The 21,143-nt window shown below is 36.0% G+C and overlaps 1 long non-coding RNA gene across 3 annotated transcripts in view; it reads right to left on the bottom strand.

Annotated features, from left to right (window-relative positions):
- Positions 1–20,569, bottom strand: part of LOC112267952 (uncharacterized) — a 34,285-nt gene extending 13,716 nt beyond the window's left edge. For all 3 annotated transcript variants that reach the window (XR_007059440.1, XR_007059441.1, XR_007059439.1), the window contains exons 1-3: positions 20,487–20,569; positions 2,811–2,957; positions 712–829 (exon numbers count right to left, since the gene is read on the bottom strand). This is a non-coding gene — a long non-coding RNA (uncharacterized LOC112267952). The remainder of the gene's footprint in view (positions 1–711; positions 830–2,810; positions 2,958–20,486) is intronic.
- Positions 20,570–21,143: the final 574 nt, after the last annotated feature.

Raw genomic sequence — 21,143 nt, 5'->3', positions numbered from 1 at the left:
GAAGAGGCTAAATAACTTGGCTAGGAGAAAAAAAATCCACTAATTGATGAAATAGATTCAAGAAAGAGTCTGCCTGTGCCCAATCTGTACCTCTATTCACTATACACACATCCTCCTAGTGTCTTTCCCCAATGAGGGACAAAATCAGTATAGAACAGGCTCATACCAAGGTCATATCCACGCCATGAATTTATACTCTAGGTGACCAACAAGTGATACCTTAATGAGTAGGTAGGTATATGCACAGTCACTGTGTTTTCTCAACAAAATATTGGGCTACTTTTACTGAAAATGGGACAGAATCTTTTAAATCAGATGATTCTGAACATTCTGGGACACACATCAATAAGTACATGATAAATAGCAGACGGAAGGAAGAGACCACAGATGGAAGGCAGGTCAGTAGAAAAAGAGAACATTCTAAGCTGATGGCAAGCCAGGGTTATAGGACACTTGAGACTGACTTGATGTACCATGACATCTTACAGTCTCCTGGTATTCTCTGGCCAGGCCTAAAAACAGAACAGAATGCAGCTGTTTTCTTATAACTCACTGAAAATTATTTTAGGCTGGGCGCAGTGGCTCACGCCTGTAATACCAGCACGAGATGGGCAGATCACAAGGTCAGGAGTTCAAGACCAGCCTGGCCACCATGGTGAAACCCTGTCTCTACTAAAAATACAAAAATTAGCTGAGTGTAGTGGCAGGCACCTGTAATCCCAGATATTCAGGAGGCTGAGGCAGGAGAATCATTTGAACCTGGGAGGTGGAGGTTGCGGTGAGTAGAGTTCAAACCATGGCACTCCAGCCTGGGCGACAGGGCTAGACTCTGTCAAAACAAACAAACAAACAAAAAATTATTTTATATAAAAGTCCCTGAGAAATTTTTAAAAAGTAGTTTCTGAGTCAGGTATCCTGAGTTTCCAGTCACAAAAAATTTAAACAAGAGAAGAAATACTATGCTGAAACCATGTTGCTTTAAAATGATGAACTGTGTTTTACATAAAACAAAGCTTTGTTTAAAAAAAAACCTGTAAGAATGCAATTTGCCAGTAAGTTGTGGTGAGGTATGAAGTGATATGGAAAATTGATATTATAAGACCTTATTCTGTTTATCAATATATAATTATGAGGTAATTTACAATAATGCAGTTATTGATTTACCTTCACCTATGTGCCTTCAGAGGATATTTATACTTTAGAAATGAAATTTAACTAAATTATTGGATAAACATTACCACTGAGCAATCCTAATTAGAAAACAAATGCCGATGCAAAGATCATGTTTTATCTTGGGACTCCTCTGATCCCAATATAGCTGCCTTTTTAATAGATTCATGTTGCCATGGCGTAGCAACTGGGAATAGCTCATATCTGTTCTATTGAGGTGAGCCTCATTCTTCAGCACATGGTAAATGAAAAAACATTCTATATTTCCCCTGAAATGCTTCCACACTTCACAAAAATAAAGAATAGCAGCTGGACTGCTAGGTCAGAAGTTATGGAGAGTTACATGTGAGCTTGCCTCAACAGTGGATTCACTCAAAACTCAATCATTGAGAAGGAAAAAAATGAAGGAAGGAAGGAAGGGAGGGAGGGAGGGAGGGAGGGAGGAAGGAAGGAAGGAATCCAGGCACGGTGGCTCATGCCTGTAATCCCAGCACTTTGGGAGGCCGAGGCAGGTAGATCACCTGAGGTCAGGAGTTTGAGACCAGCCTGGCTAACATGGTGAAACCCCTCTACTAAAAATACAAAAATTAGCCAGGCATGGTGGCTCACGCCTGTAATCCCAGCTACTCAGGAGGCTGAGGCAGGAGAATCACTTGAACCCGGGAGCCCAGGAGGTGGAGTTTGCAGTAAGCCGAGATCGCACCGATGCACTCTAGCCTGGGTGACAGAGTGAGACTCTGCCAAAAAAGAAAAAAAAGAAAAGAAGAAGAAAGGAAATGAGAGCACCATGAAAAGAAGAAGAAAAAAAAAACCTTTTGAAAACACAGTTTGGGATATGCAATCATGTCTCATTTTGAATAATAATAAAAAAGACATTATCGTAGTATTTATTGGATTATTACCAAGTGCAAGGACTTCACTGTTGTGTCTTCATTTATTTTGTTTTTGAGGGAGGTATTATCCCTCTTTGTACTTTCCGAAGTACAAAGTGTATTTGGCAGATGAGATGACCAAAATGTGGAGGTTTAAAAACATAAAGTCAGGATTTGAACCCAGACAATCTAGCTGTAGATTTTGTGTCCTTAGTCACTGTGCATTGATGTCTCACTGTATTTTAAAATGTAGTTGGTGTTGGCAAGGGAAGTATGAATTAAACCAGCACTAGGGCATGTGTTAGAAATCTGAATGCAAATTCCTTCTGAAGTTTGATGAGGATAACTGGTGGACAAAACTTCAATTTAGAGCCTAACTATTCCTTGTGACTACTGTCTTCAATATGCAAATATGTCAACAGGTACTCACCACAAAGCAGGCATAATCACTGACATAGGGTGTAGAGACTGCACTCGTGAATTTAAGCAAAAAAAATTTTTAAAAATCACAAAAAATAGGCTAAAAATGTTATAATTTGAAAGAGGAACAATAATTTAACTGACCTTCTAGAAGTGCCAAACTAAGCTCTAGGGATATCAATTCGAAAGTAAAATAAAGAAAATGATTTCAAAGTTGAGTTCAGAAAGGCAAGTAGTCTTCTGAATGTAACTTTGTTATTTCTCTAAAAATGGCTGGTCACATTTCTTTGTATCTTGGAAAAGTCAGTTTTATAAGATTAGATCAGAACCATAGGAGACAAGAGTTACCTTATGTTCCTAATAATGAAGAATGCAACCAGGGCCGGGTACAGTGGCTCACATCTATAATCCCAACACTTTGAGAGGCTGAGGTAGGAGGATTGCTTGAGCCCAGGAGTTCGAGAACAGCCTGAGCAACATGGTGAGATGCAGTCTCTAAAAAAAAATAAAAAATTAGCCAAGAGTTGTGGTGCACACCTGTAATCCCAGCTACTTGGGAGGCTGAGGTGAGAGAATTGTTTGAACCTGGGAAGTCGACACTGCAGTGAGCTGTGACTACATCATTACACTCCAGCCTGGGTGACAGAGAAAGGCCCTGTCTCAAAAAAAAAAAAAAAAGCCACCAGAAGGGAAAAAGAATAATAGTCTATGATTTATAAATGAATGGGCTTGGAAATTAGACTACTCAGGGGTTTTATTTGCTAGATATGAGACTTGAAACAAGTAACACACCCTTGCTAAGCCTCCCTTTAAATTGAGAGACCATAATAACAAAATATTAATTTATGTAAGAAGCAAATAAGATCTCACATTTGAAAGTAAGTAATTAGATGCTGGATGTAAGTTGTGCGTCCTTTGTTTTCACTTAAAACTTAAGGTCAAAGGGTTGCAGCTCCTACTTAATCAATCCTTGATGGCTAGGAGCAAAAAGGACTCCAATCTTGGTGCATCCTTAAGATTACAGAATCAGGAGTTAACAAAAATGCTAGCATAACTGTACAGCCAATGTGAAATCCATTACCTGTTCAAATCTTGACCATCATTGGGACAGAAACTCAGATCTTTGGGTGGAAATGACTCTAGCTCTGATGGTGCTGAATGCTTCCTCAGCTTCCCTAAGATTTTCCAAGCTGTGCCCTCTAGCAATAGGTGATAGGCTTATTATATCTCACACATGAGAATCCCTCAAAAGACCTGAAAGATTTATTTCCTCTATGTTAAAAAAAAGTTTTTGTTTGTTTGTTCGACTTTATAAAGTAATATGCCTTTCAGGAACATCAACATGTCACCCACATTCCTCTTGTGATATTCTACTTTCCCAATATTCTTTTTATAGACAGAGGCTACTATAAACCACAGAGTATTCATATATTGAATTATTTTCCCTCAATTTACATGTTACCAACAAGAATCCTAGAATTTCTATTCAATATTCCATATCCCAGGAAGGGGCAATCTGGCATGCACAGCAAGGTACTCCTACTTAACAAAATTCTCTAAAGTTTGTGCCCACGTAGACACATTGCATTAAGTGCTAATTCCTTATACACTTTCTCAAAAACTCTTTGAAATTTCCAGTTTCCACTCTGACATGTAAAGAGCTTGGTATCATTACTTCTGTCTTCATAACAAGACAAAAGCTGAACAAACTGAAAATCAACAACTCTTCTTAAATCAGATAGAGAATTGAGGTCAAGGGCAAACTATTATCTTGAAATTTGCAGAAATCATTGTTTCAAAGAATCACAGCTTAATGGGACCCAGAAGCTTCTAGAGCCAGAAACAGGTAGAAATGCAAACGGTATTTTAGGAATTGCTAGAAGATGAATATGGACTCGCTTGAGAACACAAAGGATTTTTAGAGCAGTGAAAGTATTCGATACGATACCGTAATGGTGGACACATGACATTCTGCATTGGCAAAACATATAAAATTGTATAAGGCAAACAATAATTCCTAATGTAAACTAAGGAGTACAGTTAATAATAATGTGCCAATATTTGTTCATCAATTGTAACAAATATACCATATGAATAGATGCTAACAGGAGAAATGTAAAGGGAAACAGATTGTATTGTCTGCTCAGGTTTTATAGAAATATAAAACTGTTCTAAAAATGAAGTCCATTAATGACAAAAAAAAAAACTCATTGAATACGTGTTGACTGTTTGAATTAAGAGGAGAAACTCAAGAAAAGCCCATGCACTCCTTTCCTGCTGATCACCAAGTAGCAGTGAAAAGTAGCATCTTGCCACAGTTCTGGAAAATTAGTGGCTGAAGAAATCCTCCCAGTGAATTCATGCTCATTGTCAGCAAGAAATTTAACCTGATGTATCCTCCATCTAAAACCCACACTGTTAATTTGCAAACACCTCACAACCTGCTAAAATAAGCATAATTCCAATGATGGGGAGAATATACCCATTATTTAGACAACAAAGAGAAGAGTTGAAATTACGTAAAGTTTCTCTGCATTAGAAATATCTGGATTAGTCCAGGCAGGGTGGTTCACACCTCTAATCCCAGCACTTTGGGAGGCCGAGGTGGGTGGGTCACTTGAGGTCAGGAGTTCGAGACCAGCCTGGCCAACATGGTGAAACCCCATCTCTACTAAAAATACAAAATTTAGCTGGGCATGGTGGTGCATGCCTGTAATCCCAGCTACGCGGGAGGCTGAGGCAGGAGAATCACTTGAACTCGGGAGGCAGAGATTGCCCTGAGCTGAGATAGTGCCACTGCACTCAAGTCTGGGTGACAGAGCGACACTCTGTCTCAAAAAAAAAAAAAGAAAAAAAGAAAAAAAAGAAATGTCAGGGTTAGTAGTGACTCCCTTAAGACTCTCAACGAAGTAGAACTTGGCTATGGTGCAAATGCAGCCCATAGAACTTAAGAATCATCGGCAGGTGGTTAAGAACGTGGGCTTGAGTTTGAATTAGGTTTTGTCAATTACTAATTGTGTGGCTCTCGCAGGTTGCGCAGTATTTCTGAGACTATTTTCTTATCTGCAGAATGAGAGTAATACTATCTTTAGTACAGGGTTTTATTATTAAGTGAAATAATGTATGTACATTAATGACTGGCATGTAATAAGTATACAATAAACAGTAGCTACTATTTGGATCTGAAAGAAACTTAGAGACTTTAAAGTTGGAAAAGTAAAGTTTAGATATATAAAATTACTTTTGAAGATCGTAAAGCAAAGCCATTTGTAGGGCACTTGCTGTGCTTTTATTGAGCACAGTTACTGGGCAGTTGCAGGAATAAAGAAAAAAAGAAAAAAAATCACATTTTCTTTCCTGAATTAAGATCGACTTTAAAAAGTTGTCATTTTTGACTCTGACACACTGCATGCTTTTGAAATTATCATTATACTTTGAGTTCTGGGGTACATGTGCAGAACGTGCAGGTTCGTTATATAGGTATACATGTGCCATGGTGGCTTGCTGCACCCATCAACCCATCATCTACATTGGGTATTTCTCCTAATGCTATCCCTTCCCTAACCCCCAACCCCCCAACAGGCCCTGGTGTGTGATGTTCCCCTCCCTGTGTCCATGTGTTCTCATTGTTTGACTCCCACTTATGAGTGAGAACATGCTGTGTTTGGTTTTCTGTTCTTGTGTTAGTTTGCTGAGAATGATGGTTTCCAGCTTCATCCATGTCCCCACAAAGGACATAAATTCATCCTTTTTTATGGCTGCATAGTATTCCATGGTGTATATGTGCCACATTTTCTTTATCCAATCTATCATTGATGGGCATTTGGGTTGGTTCCAAGTCTTTGCTCTTGTGAACAGTGCTGCAATAAACATACGTGTGCATGTATCTTTATTGTAGAATGATTTATAATCCTTTGGGTATATACCCAGTAATGGGATTGCTGGGTCAAATGGTTTTTCTAGTTCTAGATCCTTGAGGAATCACCACACTGTCTTCCACAATGGTTGAACTAATTTACACTCCCACCAATAGTGTAAAAGCATTTCTATTTCTCCACATCCTCTCCAGCATCTGTTGTTTCCTGACTTTTTAATGATTGCCATTCTAACTGGCGTGAGATGGTATCTCATTGTGGTTTTGATTTGCATTTCTCTAATGACCAATGATGATGAGGTTTTTTTTCATGTGTTGGTTGGCTGCATAAATGTCTTCTTTTGAGAAGTGTCTGTTCCTATCCTTTGCCCACTTTTTGATGGGGTTGTTTGGTTTTTTCTTGTAAATTTGTTTAAGTTATTTGTAAATTCTGGATATTAGCTCTTTGTCAGATGGATAGATTGCAAAATTTTTCTCCCATTCTGTAGGTTGCCTGTTCACTCCGATGATAGTTTCTTCTGCTGTGCAGAAACTCTTTAGTTTAATTAGATCCCATTTAAAACCAAATAACAGGCAGAATAATTTCCTCTGCATTGTTTCCTGTTCTCTCCATTAATTCTCTCATCTTTCTAGCACAAAGCCTTGGGAAAAGTGGCTCAGCGAAGGGGCTCTTGGAAATACTGTCATGGGGTGGCTTGTGCACTTTTCCAGCTCAGGGGAAGACTCTAAGCTGCTTCTTTTCAGTCTTATTCAAATGGGAGGAAATGTAGGGAGGTTTTCATTTCTACACTTACCAAGTGTTTCAGGGTTCCATCTTGCATTTTATGGGATTATACATGTCCTGAGATATAGAAAGTAGGATTGTCTCCTAGCATAATTTATGGCATAGTTTTTACCATTTTAACTACCATCCCACACTGTGAATAAATGATGGTGATTCATTTGTATCAAAACTCATGCAAGTTCACAGGCAAAAATATTACTAGTTACTTATCTCTAGAACTATACTTGTAGGTAAACTGAAGGATTCTGTGATAGCACAGATTTTTCCTGGCCAATGTGCCTAGCTCTTTCTCATCCTTCAGATCTCTGCTGAAATGTAGTATCCTAAAGATTGCTTATGAAATATAATCCCCTTCTCCATTTCCCAATACCAGGCAGTTTCTATCATTCTACTCTGCTTGTTTCCATCATTTGAACTTTCTAAACTTTACAGTTATACATTTATTTGTTCATTTCCTTGTTTGTTACCACTCTCTTATGTTAATTTGTAAACTCTCTGATAGTAAGGGCCGTTTGTTTTATTCACCAAAATGTGTGTAGCTCCCTTCACATTACCTGACACACAGTGGCACTCCATTATACCTATTAATTGATTAATTGAATGAATGAATGAACTTGCAATGGCACCATGTCCAATATTCTCCCAGTTAGAGAAAATATACATCTCCTAGCTTAGGACTCAAGCAACTTAAACCATCAACTTCCCCCTGTATTCCAAGAAGCTGCCATAGTCCTTTATTCTGCCTTCAGTTTATCTAATCAAGGTTTTTAAATCCACAAGTTATTGTTGATTAGTACCTGGTGAAAAACAAAATAAAGTAGCCTTCTCATACATAACAGAGAAAACAAAACTTGGATATAAACATATAATCAAATAAATATTGACAGCTTATAGTAGTATTTCTCCTTGAATATTTTAAGAATCACATTTATAATAAAATGAAGTTAAAATTATTTACCAATTAAGATTCATTCAACCAACAGATGATCTGGCACAGATAATACAATAACATATAATACAAGTTGATGTAAAGGTTTCAGTGGTTGATCTATGAATGTGACAAGACACCGTTACTGGAAATTGAGTTTCTTAAAATTAAAACAAAAAGGTTTGGGATATTAGTAATATTTGTAGTCAATAGTAAGCAGATAAAAGTTTCATAATGACGTATTAGTCAAGAGTTTTCTTTTTCTAAATGACCAATGCATCATGTAGTAAAACATTATTTTTTATGATTAACTATTGCAGAAACATTTTATCTGAAATCATTTGCTATTATTTAATATAGAAACCCCTCTGATACTATAAGGGAGAGTTGACAATGGCAGAGGGGTTTTGAAAGATTATTTTTAATATTTGGCATAATAGCCTATAATGGTTCCTATGACTCTGATCACTCACAAATTGAATTAAAACCAAGTAAATTTGAATCCTTTCATATTGCTTTAACAGTTCATATTTTGTGTTGCTTTTATAGTTATAATTTCATGTGGCCCTGGGTTTGTCTTCTAAAATTTCTCAATTGTTTTCAGCTCCCAGAAATACCATAGTTATTATTTTAAAGGAAAGTTTTCTAACTTGCATTAAAAAAAAAACAAAACTCTTGAGATAGTGGAAATACTTTTAGCCTTAGCTGCCAAATAGTATATGGGATTTGTGGAAAGGAAGGCCAAGAAGAACGTATGTAAGTGACATTTGTGATTGCTATAAAACTATGAGCAAGCCCAAAGGCAGAAATTAGTGTGATATTTGAGTGGATATAAAGGAAATAAGAGCAAATAAATTGAGAGTAGTTGTACGGAATAATTGGGAGAAAGTTATAAAAACAAGACTGATAAATAGTATTACAAGAATAACATCTAGACACAGCATATTAAGAGCTCAAATTTTTACTACATAGAGATCTAATTTCTGTAATATCGAGGTCTAGGATTTTTCTGACCCTTTTGCTAAAAAAAAAATAAAATATTTTGAAAATGTCTGGTGGGAGAAATGTTCTTGGCTCTCTTTTTTTGTATTTTAAATTTTATTGTAAATTGACAATTTATAATTGTATATACTTATCAAGTACAAAGTAATGCTACTATTTATAAATACAATGTTGAATAATTAAATTAAGGTAATTAATATATCCACCACCTTAAATACTTAACAATTTTGTTGTGGTGAGAACATTTGAGACTCACTCTCGCAGCAATTTTGAAATACACAATACACTCTTATTAGCTATATTTGCCAGGCTATGCTGTAGGTCTCAAAAAACACACCTTATTTCTCTCATTTAAGACTTGGTGTTCTTTGATCATCATCTCCCCATTCCTCTCACTCTGCAGCCTCTGTTAACCACCATTTGACTCTCTTTATACAGGTTTGATTGTGTTAGATTGCACATGTAAGTAAAAACATGTTTGTCTTTCTGCACCTGGCTTATTCCACTTGGCATAATTTTCTCTAATTCCATCCATGTCATCATGAATGACAACATTTTCTTCTTTTTAAAACTAAATATGATTCAATTGTGTGTATATACCACATCTTCTGAGGTACTTTAGTACCTAAGACTAGTCAAAGAATTCTTATGCTTCATGCTGAAAGCATAATCCATAAAAGAAACAATTGACAAATTGGACTTTATCAAACTTACAAGATTTTGCTCTGCAAATGACTTGTTAAGAGAATGAAAAGACAAATTTTAATATAATTATCACTACACATCTATTAGAATAACTCATATAAAAAACAATGATAACACTAACTGCTGGCAACTATACAGAAAAGCTGGCTCACTCATATATAACTGGCAAAATGGTGCAGTCACTCAAAAAATAGTTTGGAAAGTTTTTTTTATATAAAAAATGAACTTCCATAAAATCAGCAATTGTACTCTTGGCCATTTATCACAGAGAAATAAAAACCCAATTTTTATGCAGAAATGTGTACATGGATGTTTATAGCAACTTCATTTGTAACATCCCAAACCAGGAAAGTACCCAGATGTTCTTTAATGAGTGAATGTTTAGACAAACTGTAGTATATTCATACCACGGAAGACTAGTTTAAGTTCCACACTGATATCTTAGGTTATTTATTTGAAAATTTTGAAATTCAATTTGAAATCTATTATACCAATCTCCTCTCCCCTCCCTTTCCATGTGTGTTCTTAAATATTATAAATTCAATGGAACAATGTTTTCTTGTTGGCTAATTCAATATCTGACCAATAAAAGCCTATCCAAGATTGTTTTGTGATAGTTATAAAGCATGGATAAATATTGCCAAATGCCAGGAAAAATCAGGCATCGTATTTCCAATGTGATAAATTAACTTAGAATTTGAGATTTGCAATGAAAACACACACACAAACACACACACTTTTCAAAATTTCTCTGTCTGTGTTCAAATTATTTGATCCAACAAAATCTAGAATTTGGTCAAGTGAGTTATTGTAGATAAATATCAAAAATGCACTATTTTTGCATTTTAATATCCATTTCTATCCTGTTTTACAAATAGACAGAAAAATAAGCATTCTTTATTCCCACCTTGACATCATGATCAAAGCAGAACCATTCACTAACTTAGTGGGTATGACTGAAGAGACCTCAGTAGTTTCAAAATTTCTCTCTCATCAATACATCATCATAGTCTGCCTGAAATTCTCATCGCGTTTGTTTGTTTCTTCCTTTGGCTTAAATTTCTGCTGGTGTTTAAAGTGTAAATACATTATTTACCAGGGGCAGGATGCTATAGTAAAAATATTACCCAACCAAACTTGGTTCTAGTCCTAGTTCTGCCACAATTAAGTTACAGGATTTTGGAAAAAATACCACTTCATCAAATTTGCTTTCTGACAATGATATGGACCAAGTTAGCGGTTTGTGAACTGTTTCTTTGGCCAAGACACACTTTTTTCTACTAAAATCTTGTGAGACAGGCTAGAACATAAAAGAGTTAGAAACAAAGCCACCATGGAAGAAGCAGACTTAGAAGCCAGGATCCAGAAGCTCAGTCTTCCTTTGCTTCCTCTACTGGCCCCGGCACCAACTTCTAGAACACAGTTTAAAGGACGCTAAATCAGATGATCTCTAGGAATCTTTTACAGTTTTCAATTGTGTGGGTGACTGTATAGAGAAGAGGAGAATGATAGGGTGATTTCAAAGGGATGCACAGAATTTTAAAGCTCCAGGGACGAGCCAGGGGCCTAGCTGCTGGAGATGAGAAGGAAATGGGGAGTGGGCCGTCCTGTGCTTGTTCCACTGCGGTCTGTACCAGCCCTTTACTGGAATTGCATGACATCACCCCCAGACAGGTATTCCCATTCTAGTACAGCCTGGGACAGCACCTGAGAAGCACCAGCATTTCGTGGTTGGGCAGAAAAAAACTATAAAATAGAGGGAGAGGGCAGAAACAAGTAGATGCTAGAAAATGCCCTCCTCCTGTTTACACTCTGTGTGAAATCCCCCAAAGAAGGAGATCAGAATGCTAACAGAAAAGGATCAGGAGAAAATAAAGAGGCAACAAGAAATTGCTATAGCGATCATCTACATATTGCTCCGTAGACACTGGAGCTGAGAGCAGAAAGTGAGCGTTTTCTTGGTCAGTTCCGCCACCACAGGGGTGCTAGTCATAAGAAGCCTCCTCTCCATGGTTCCAGCCAGAAGGCTTCGAGTCATGTAAAGAACATGTTGATGCGTAACAATCAGCTGGTTCTCAAAGCTGAAGATGATCGTGGCAGTTTAATACAACCCTGACTGAAATTGAGATTTATGATCTGGCAGATGGAACTTCGGCTAGCATTTGCTAGGATTCGACTTTGACAATAAAAAAGTAGAGAACAGCAGTGACACCTGAACTATTCAGTTCTTGTGAGAGGAAATTCCTATTGGACAAACAGCTCCTTACCAAAAAAAGATGAGAAGATTTAGGGGAAAAATGTTATTATTTAGGAGACGAAGGGCTAAAGATCAATGACAACAGCATATTTTGTGACAAGAATGGTCATGCTTTAACTCAAAATAATTATATATTTTACTGTACAATTATTTTTGAATTCAAGAACAGCCTTCATGTATTACATTTTAAAAGCTGACAGTTTTCAAAATGTTTTGATGGAGGGTTTATAAGTCCAAAACTTCTAATGTTGATGGTTATTTCACTTGAATAATATTCTTATTATTGGATTATGTGGCCAAGGAATTTGGTAAGGGTAGGGAGTGGAGTCCTCCTATAATTGGTAGAGTTAAAAACAAACCAAAGAGCAAAAGATACAGCATAATTATATAGATGAACTGTGGAAATGATCTCTGGCCAGCAAGCAACCTTTTTGTTTTTATTTTCCAACTTTTATTTTAGGTTCAAAGAGTACATGTGCAGGTTTGTTATGTGTAAGTTGCATATGGCAGGGGTTTGGTGTACAGACCCCAATTCTGTGACCCATGTAATCAGCATAGTGCCCAATAGGTAGCTTTTCAATGCTCGCCCTCCTCCCACCCTCCACCCTCAATAGCCCCCAATGCCCATTGCTTCCTTCTTCTTATCTATGTGTTCTCAATGTTTAGCTCCTGCTTGTAAGTGAGAACATGCAGTATTTGGCTTTCTGTTCCTGCATTAATTCTTTTAGTACCATGGCCTCCAGCTCCATCCATGTTGTTGCAAAGGACATGACCTTGTTCTTTTTTATGAATGCGTAGTATTCCATGATGTATATGAATCACATTTTCTTTCTCCAGTCCACCACTGGGGGGCATCTAGGTTGATTCCATGTCTTTGCTGTTGTGAACAGTGCTGCGATGAACATCCATGTGCACATGTCTTTATTGTAGAATGATTTATATTTCTCTGGATATGTACCCAGTAATAGGATTGCTGGGTGGAATGATAGTTCTATTTTAAGTTCTTTGAGAAATCCCCAGACTGTTTTCCACAGTGGCTGAACTAATTTACATTCCCACCAGCAGTGTGTAAGCAATTTCTTTCCTCCACAACTAGCTGGTTATTTTTTGACGTTTTAATGATAGCCATTCTGACTGGTGTGATATGGTATCTCATTGTGGTTTTAATTTGCAGTTCCCTAGTGATCAGTGATATTGAGCAGTTTTTCATATGCTTGCTGGCTGAGTGTATGTCTTCTTTTGAGAAGTGTCTGTTTATGTCCTTTGCCCACTTTTTAGTGGGGTTGTTGTTTTTTGCTTGTTGATTTAATTTTCTTATAGATTGTGGTTATTAGGTCTTTGCTGGATGCATAGTTTGCAAATACCTTCTTCCATTCTGTCGGTTATCTGTGTACTCTATTGATGTTTCTTTTGCTGTGCAGGTGCTCCTTAATTTAATTAGGTTCCACTTGTCAATTTGTGCTTTTGTTGCTATTGTTTTGGAGTCTTCATTATGAAATGTTTGCCAGGACAGATGCGCATAATGGTATTTCCTAGGTTTTCTTCTGTGGTTTTTATCATTTTAGTTTTACCATGTAAGTCTTTAGTCTATCTTGAGTTGATTTTTGAATATGGTGAAATATAGGGATCCAGTTTCAATCTTCTGCATATGGGGCTAGCCAGTTATCCCAACACCATTTATTGAATACACTGTTCTTTCCTCATTGATTTTTATTGTTGGCTTTGGCAAAGCTAAGATGATTGTAAGTGTGTGGCTTCATTTCTGGGTTCTCTAACCTGTTCCATTGGTCTATGTGTCTCTTTTGTACCATTGCCATGCTGCTTTAGTAACTGTAGTTTTGTAGTATAGTTTGAAGTCAAGTAGCAGGATGTGTCCAGCTTTGTTCTTTCTTCTTAGGATTGCTTTGGCTGTTCTGGCTCTTTTTTGGTTCCAAATGAATTTTAGAAATTTTTTTTCTAATTCTCTGAAAAATGTTATTGGTAATTTGATAAGAATAGCATTGAATTTTTAAATTGCTTTGGGCAGTATGGCCATTTTAACAATATTGATTCTTCCTATCCGTGAGCATGGTATGTTTTTCCATTTGTTTATATCATCTCTAATTTATTTTGTATTTATCTAAATACAAAAGATATTTATCTAAATACAAAAGCAACACAGGTTACTTCCAAATTTTGGCTATTTTGAATAGTGCTGCAACAAACATGGGAGTACAAATACCTCTTTAATACATTTATTTTCTTTCTTTTGAGTATACACCAAGCAGTGGGATTGCTAGATCATATGGTGGCTCTATTTTTAGTTTTTTGAGGAACTTTCAAACTGTTCTCCATAGTGCTTGTACTAATTTACATTCCCACCAACAGTGTACAAGGGTTCCCTTTTCTCCACATCCTCACCAGCATTTGTTATTGCCTGTCTTTTGGATATAAGCCATTTTAACTGGGGTAAGATGATATCTCACTATAGTTTTGATTTACATTTCTCTAACAATCAACGATGTTGAGCACCTTTTCATATGTCTGTTTACCATTTGAATGTCTTCTTTTGAGAATTGTGCATTCAAATCTTTTGCTCATTTTTTGATTGGATTATTAGGTTTTTTTCCTATAGAGTTTTTTGAGCTCCCTATGTATTCTGGTTATTAATCCCTTGTCAAAGGGGTAGTTTGCAAATATTTTCTCCCATTCTGCAGGTTGTCTCTTCAGTTTGTTGTTTCTTTTGCGGTGCAGAAGCTTTTTAACTTGATGAGTTCCCATTTATCCATTTTTGCTTTGGTTGCCTGTGCTTATGGAGTACTGCTCTAGAAATTTCTGCCCAGATCCATGTTCTGGAGAGTTTCCTGTATGGTATTTTTGGAGTAATATCATATTTTGAGTTCTTATATTTAATTCTTTAATTCAGTTTGATTTGAGGTTTGTATATGGCAAGAGATAGGGCTCTAGTTTCACTTCGTTCCAGTTTTCCCAGCACCATTTACTGAAGAGACTGTGTTTTCCCCAGTGTATGTTCTTAGCAGCTTTGTCAAATATGAGTTCACTGTAGGTATGTGGATTTGTTTCTGGGTTCTCTGTTCTGTTGCATTGGTCTATGTATCTGTTTTTATGCCAGTACCATGCTGTTTTGACTGTTATAGCTCTGTAGTACAATTTGAAGTCAGGTAATGTGATTCCTCCATTGATGTTATTTGTTTCTTTTCTCTTGTTGTTTTTAGGGTCCTTTCTCTATTCGTAACCTTTGGGACTTTGATTATTAAAAATAATAAAGAGGTAGCCTTCTTTGAGTTAAATCTGCTTGATGTTCTATAACCTTCTTGTACTTCCCAACTTCTTTGGGAAGTTCAATGTTATTTTCCCTTTCAATAAACTTTCTACCCCTATCTCTTTCTCTACCTCCTCTTAAAGAACAATAACTCTTAGATTTGCCCGTTTAAGACTAATTGTAATTGGCTATTTTACAAATGGATATTAACAGTGAATCACCTTATCTAGTACATTTTCAAGGAGCCAATATAATTTTTAAACTTTTGTGTTAGGCTGTTAATAACCAGTATCCTATTAATATGATTTTCATTTCTTTCCAAATTACTGACAGAAGCCCTTAGCAGTCCCAGAAAAAATACATTCAGGATAATTTGATATGGAAAACGATGGGTAATTCTTAATCATTTATTTTGTAAATGTAAAATGAAATGAACACATTTCATTTATCTTTCCTTTAGTGACAGTGATTTAGAGAATAAACAAGTTAAAATTGTGAAACACTTTCAGTTAGCTTTAGAGCTTATTATTGATTTGCTCATTTGTTGATACTAGTAAAACTTTGTAGATTGTGGTAGCAGAACAAATTTATATTTATTTTTGAACTATGTAAGATTTGCATTGCATTTTAAGAAAGTTAAGTGAGAAAATATCATTTTCATAAGTTTTCATACTTGTCTATTAATTTCCTAGATTGAAAATGAAAAAGTATTTTCTAAATATAAGTTACATATTAATGCATTGTTCACATTTCTTGTGAGCTATGACTACTACAAATACCAAAATATTAAATTACTGAATGATATTACAGATTCTATATTGTCATACTTCCATCTAAGCATTTTAGGTATTTCTCTGATTACCTCTCTTTAGAGACTAAGTGTATCACAGGCCATTGAGACATGATGATGGCAGATAAAAATCCTTCTTCCCTACAGTTGTATTGTGTATATTTCCGATTGTAGGATAGATAGTTTCTTTATTTTCAGTGCATGAGAGATCCAAAATACGAATTAAAGACAAATTTATGGTAGATATGATTGTTATAGAATTTTACAAATGAAACATGTAAAATGAAGAAATACTTCAAATACAGAAAAAAATTTTCACCTCACCTAGAGAAATATGTAACCCCCTAGGAGGCCTCTGTTAAATTAATTCTTTGGTGAACTGGTGAACTTATACCTGTGTGTTTTGCTATTTTGTCTATTTTTTGTGTGTAAAGCAAGAACATTAGATAACTCTGCCAATTTAATTAAAGTTCTAGAAAAAGATGGAAATATACAACACCTAAAAACAGCTTTTGTTCACACCTGAGAAACAGGAAAATCACCTAAAGTTCTTTTTATTTTCTCATATTCATGAGACATAAATTTACTCATGGTCTAAATTGAGCCAATATTATAAATATTTGCTATAAGAAACTAATATAATACAACAAACAATATACAGAATATATGAGATTTTCATGATATTTATAGTGACTTTCATACTAAAGTAATATACAGTGTTGTATTTAAAATTAAAAAAATTCAGCAAAGTATAAAGGAAAAATAATCCTCATCCCTTCATCTATGTATTTTATGTGTAACAAATGCTAGCTCATTATTTTTGCCATTGATGTTAACTGCTTTTTTATTCATAGTTCTTGTTAATTGTCTACGCTTTGCACATTTATTTGGATTTTGCAATATAATTTTTAAAATTTTATTAGTGTTTATAATTTCTAGATAATCTTATGTTAATCAGGCAGACCCTCCTGGTGCCATTCTACCCACGTCCAATAGGATGGACATGCAGGTGAGTTAGTACCTATTGAATACAGCTCTAATGCAGCTGTCAACTGATAACTGGCAAAAGTTGTTGTAAATCTCTACATCCTTCAGGTGGGATAATTGTGACATATGTCTTACACACGTTTCCAGAGTTTCCAATTTTCTTGTGGTCTAAATTGAGCCAACAGTATAAATATTTGCTGTAAGAAGCTAATATCAGACAATAAGGAATATGCAAAAGTATTACATTTTTGTGATATTTATAGTGAATCATATACTAATAAAAGTCCAAATAAACCCTTAAAAATAAGCCCTCCAAGTAAACCCTCCATGTTAACCCCATTCTCCCACAGCATCCTTTATTGGGTGTATTCCTTTTCCTGCACCACTCCGCTGACTCCTGAAGTTCTCAACTCAACTATCTGCATTCTGATCTTTGGTTGAGGGTCTATTTCAAGGGGAATCTAAACTAAGAAAAAACTTCTATAACCAAAAAATGATGCAGATGCATTCTCATTTATAATCCAAATAAGCTTTAGGTTTAGTAAGTTCACATTAATCCATTTGTGAAAATTACAAATTTAGGGCTACTATACCTAATATTGAGATTCCAATCAAGTACTTAGGCTTAATGAAGCTATCTCACAGACTACATGGTCAGATGCCCATGGTAAATGGTGCTGGACTTGAGAGAAGCACACCAGCGAGCAAAAGCAGAGGATGAACAAGAGCTCCAATAGTACCACCTCCTTCCTTCCCTCGTGCGAAAGAGCAGGCAAGCAGAGTGTGCTATGTCACTTCCCAGAAAGACATAAATTTCTGGAATGTGCAAAGCAGCTACCATAGGAAGGAGGTACAATTCTGTGAAGTTTTGTGATGGCTTTCTCCAAAATGCATTCCCAAAGGTTATGAAGAAAGCCAAAACAGATGGTTCCAAAGAGTATTCACTTCTTCTGAAACGTGTGTTCTAATATTTGACACTAAGCATTGTTTTAATGATTAAGCCTGTCTCTATTTCTCTATGAGAGTAATTTGTTTCCTCCTTTTAAAAAACCCTCTTTCAAACCATCATTCTCAGCAAACTATCGCAAGGACAAAAAACCAAACACCGCATGTTCTCACTCATAGGTGGGATTGAACATTGAGAACACATGGACACAGGAAGGGGAACATCACACACCGGGGTCTGTTTTGGGGTGGGGGGGCGGGGGGAGGGATAGCATTAGGAGATATACCTAATGTTAAATGACGAGTTAATGAGTGCAGCACACCAGCGTGGCACATGTATACATACGTAACAAACCTGCACAGTGTGCACACATACCCTAAAACTTAAAGTATAAAAAAAAAACCCTCTTGTTTTCCCATTCCACATAGGCCAGTAAACCATTATTTTCTAAGCCACACAGAAGTCTTTTTTTTTTTAAGTTCTAAGAATGTATCCTTAACTTAATTTCATCAAGTTGAGAAAAAGTTTATTTTAATGAGACAATAAAAAGAACTTCAGGTGATTTTCCTGTTTCCCTGGCTTGAACAAAAGCTGTTTATGGGTGTTGTTTATTTTCATCTTTTTCTAGAACTTTAAATCAGTTAAATCAACCATCATAAGGAAGTTGTTTCATACTTGAGAATTCCCTATAAGTAAACACAATCTAAATTGTATAAAAAATGTTGAAACCTGAAAAAATAAGATTTTAATTGTTTTTTATTTGATCATGAAGCAGGGGCCTCAGAGAGGATGAATAAGGTAAAGTCTGCTGGCTGTCTCTCACAAAAGCAACCCCACTAATGCTAACATCTGGATTAGAGGCTGCATTTTCTGGGTTCGTCTCCTCTGCCTCCTTCTCCCTGATCAGTTTTGTATTAGACCTTTATGTTTTCATTATAACCTGGCAGCAAGGGCTCCCCTAAATAGAAAGTGTGAATGAAAGCAATTTTTTCCATTAACAATATATTTCCCTTTGGGGTCTCTGGCACATTATTGTTCTTTTTTTCAAGGAGCAAAAACCCCAAGAAAACTGTCTTCAGTTGTGAAGCATTATTATAGATCCTATCTGAAGGCCTTCGGTTTTGTTTTCTTCCTATGAAAACATCCTGAAATATGCCCATAAATAAATACAATTTCTGACACAACCAGCCATACAAGTATGAGCAAGTGTTGAACTAAAAACACACATCTTTTTTTAAGTGTAAATTTTCCCAAGTAGTCAATAAGAGAAAATCTGGAAGAACTGAAGTTTCAAAGTAAGGTAAAATATTACTTAAACATGTTTTTGGACAGATTGCATTTTTTTCTTGGAAACCACAAAAATATTACATGCAACAGCCCAAGTGTATTTATTTTATAGAGTTTGTTTGATTGATTGTGATATATAATGCACTAAGGCATATGTATGTATATACACACATATATAAATATACATATATAAAATATCCTAATGTCTTAAGACTGTATAGTAGTGTGTGTATATATAATAGCATATAGTATATCAAAATAATTACCAGAAAAAAGGGTTAGAACAACTGTTCATACAATCAGACCCTCCCCTTCACCTATGTCAGGTCCCCTAACTGCATTCCTATAAATCAGTAAGGCAAGGGCCCAGTGGATGCTGGGCTGTCACCTACAATGTCACTGCAAATTCTACTGTAAGAAAGCAAAACTGTGACTCTGGCTGCCTATGTAGTCTGCCCAGGGTCACAGAATAGGAAGAGTGAGGCTGAGGTTGTACCCAACAGTTCTCACAGTCCATGGCTCTTTTGACAACATCATGTGAAATATGCTAACACATTTCATGTTGTGTTGTTTTTCTTTTTAATCCACTAATTCCAGTCATTGATTGCATTCTTATGCAATCAATAAAAAGAGTGTGGAAAACAGTAATATTTTAAGCCAATATTACATACTACTTCAATTTCTGTTAGAAAGTAAAATCTAGGTAGAAAAATAATCTCTCAATACACTTCAAGCTCAAAATGGTCCATTTACAACATGAAAATACAAGCGTGATAACATTTTATGGACAGCATCACTTAAAATTAACAGTGGCTAAAAGTTTAAGAAATGCCTATTTGCAGTTATCAGTCCCGGTATAAAACAGACAAACATAGACAACAGCAACATAATGTTATATAAATAGCTGTTACTATAAAGAAATGGTCAATTCCTTTCTTCCTACTTTATTTTACTTTTTAAATTCTGCCTGACAGGTGATAACTCAATTATCTACTGTGATGAAAGAACAGAGAGAAGGGAAAGAAAGGCGGATAAGGGAGCAGCTCTCAGTATCACATCTAGTTTAAAAGGAAAAATAAACAATGGAAATCATTTACAAATTGATATGTTGGTTCTGCACTTACCATATTGGTAATTCTGAGCAAGAGAAAAAATTCCCCGAAAACAATAAATATATAAATTAAAAGTGCTCCGTGTCTTACCTAAGGCTCTCAAGGGAAAACTTGTGGCCTAGCTTTTCCTGACCCTGCCACTTCCTGCTCAGCCAGGGTCTGTCAGCTCATCTAGGGACAGCTTACAGTCACACAGGTAAATGTTCAAAAATAAACACATTCCAGTAAAGGTTACCTAATGGCTTTTCATGGATTTCGAAATCACTTTCCAACTATGTCAGCCTAAAAAAAATTCTGATAATTTATGTTACCCAGATGTTAAGAAATCCAACAGCTTTCACTACTCATAAATTTAACAGCATTAAGCACCTGCTGGCTCCAAGCAACAACTCCTGCCAAGAAGGAAGTAAGGAGCTTTGCGATACACTAATAGGCTCCTTCCTTTACCATCCAAGCTGAGTTTGGGTCTCAGTCCTGCAGCTTCACACCCTCCCCAGCCTCCCGCAGAGAGATCCTCAGGCTCCACACACCAAGAGTTCCAAAAACCCACTCTGCCAATTCTACACTGGATGCAGGAAGTGGAAACCAGAATTGGGATAGGGGTATTTCTAAATCTCAATGAACAAGGAACCCTAGCTGTTGGCTAAATTAATAAACAAGAGAAGCATCAGAGCACGTGTAAAATAACAAAAACTTAAACTTGAAAGTAGAGTAATATTAAAAAGTTAATTGTGACATGCCTTTAAA

Source organism: Homo sapiens, chromosome 6 (genome assembly GCF_000001405.40).
Source record: "Homo sapiens chromosome 6, GRCh38.p14 Primary Assembly".
Classification (NCBI taxonomy): Eukaryota; Metazoa; Chordata; class Mammalia; order Primates; family Hominidae; genus Homo; species Homo sapiens.
The sequence above is the reverse complement of the archived record's forward strand: the minus strand, read 5'-3'. Positions and strand labels throughout refer to the sequence as shown.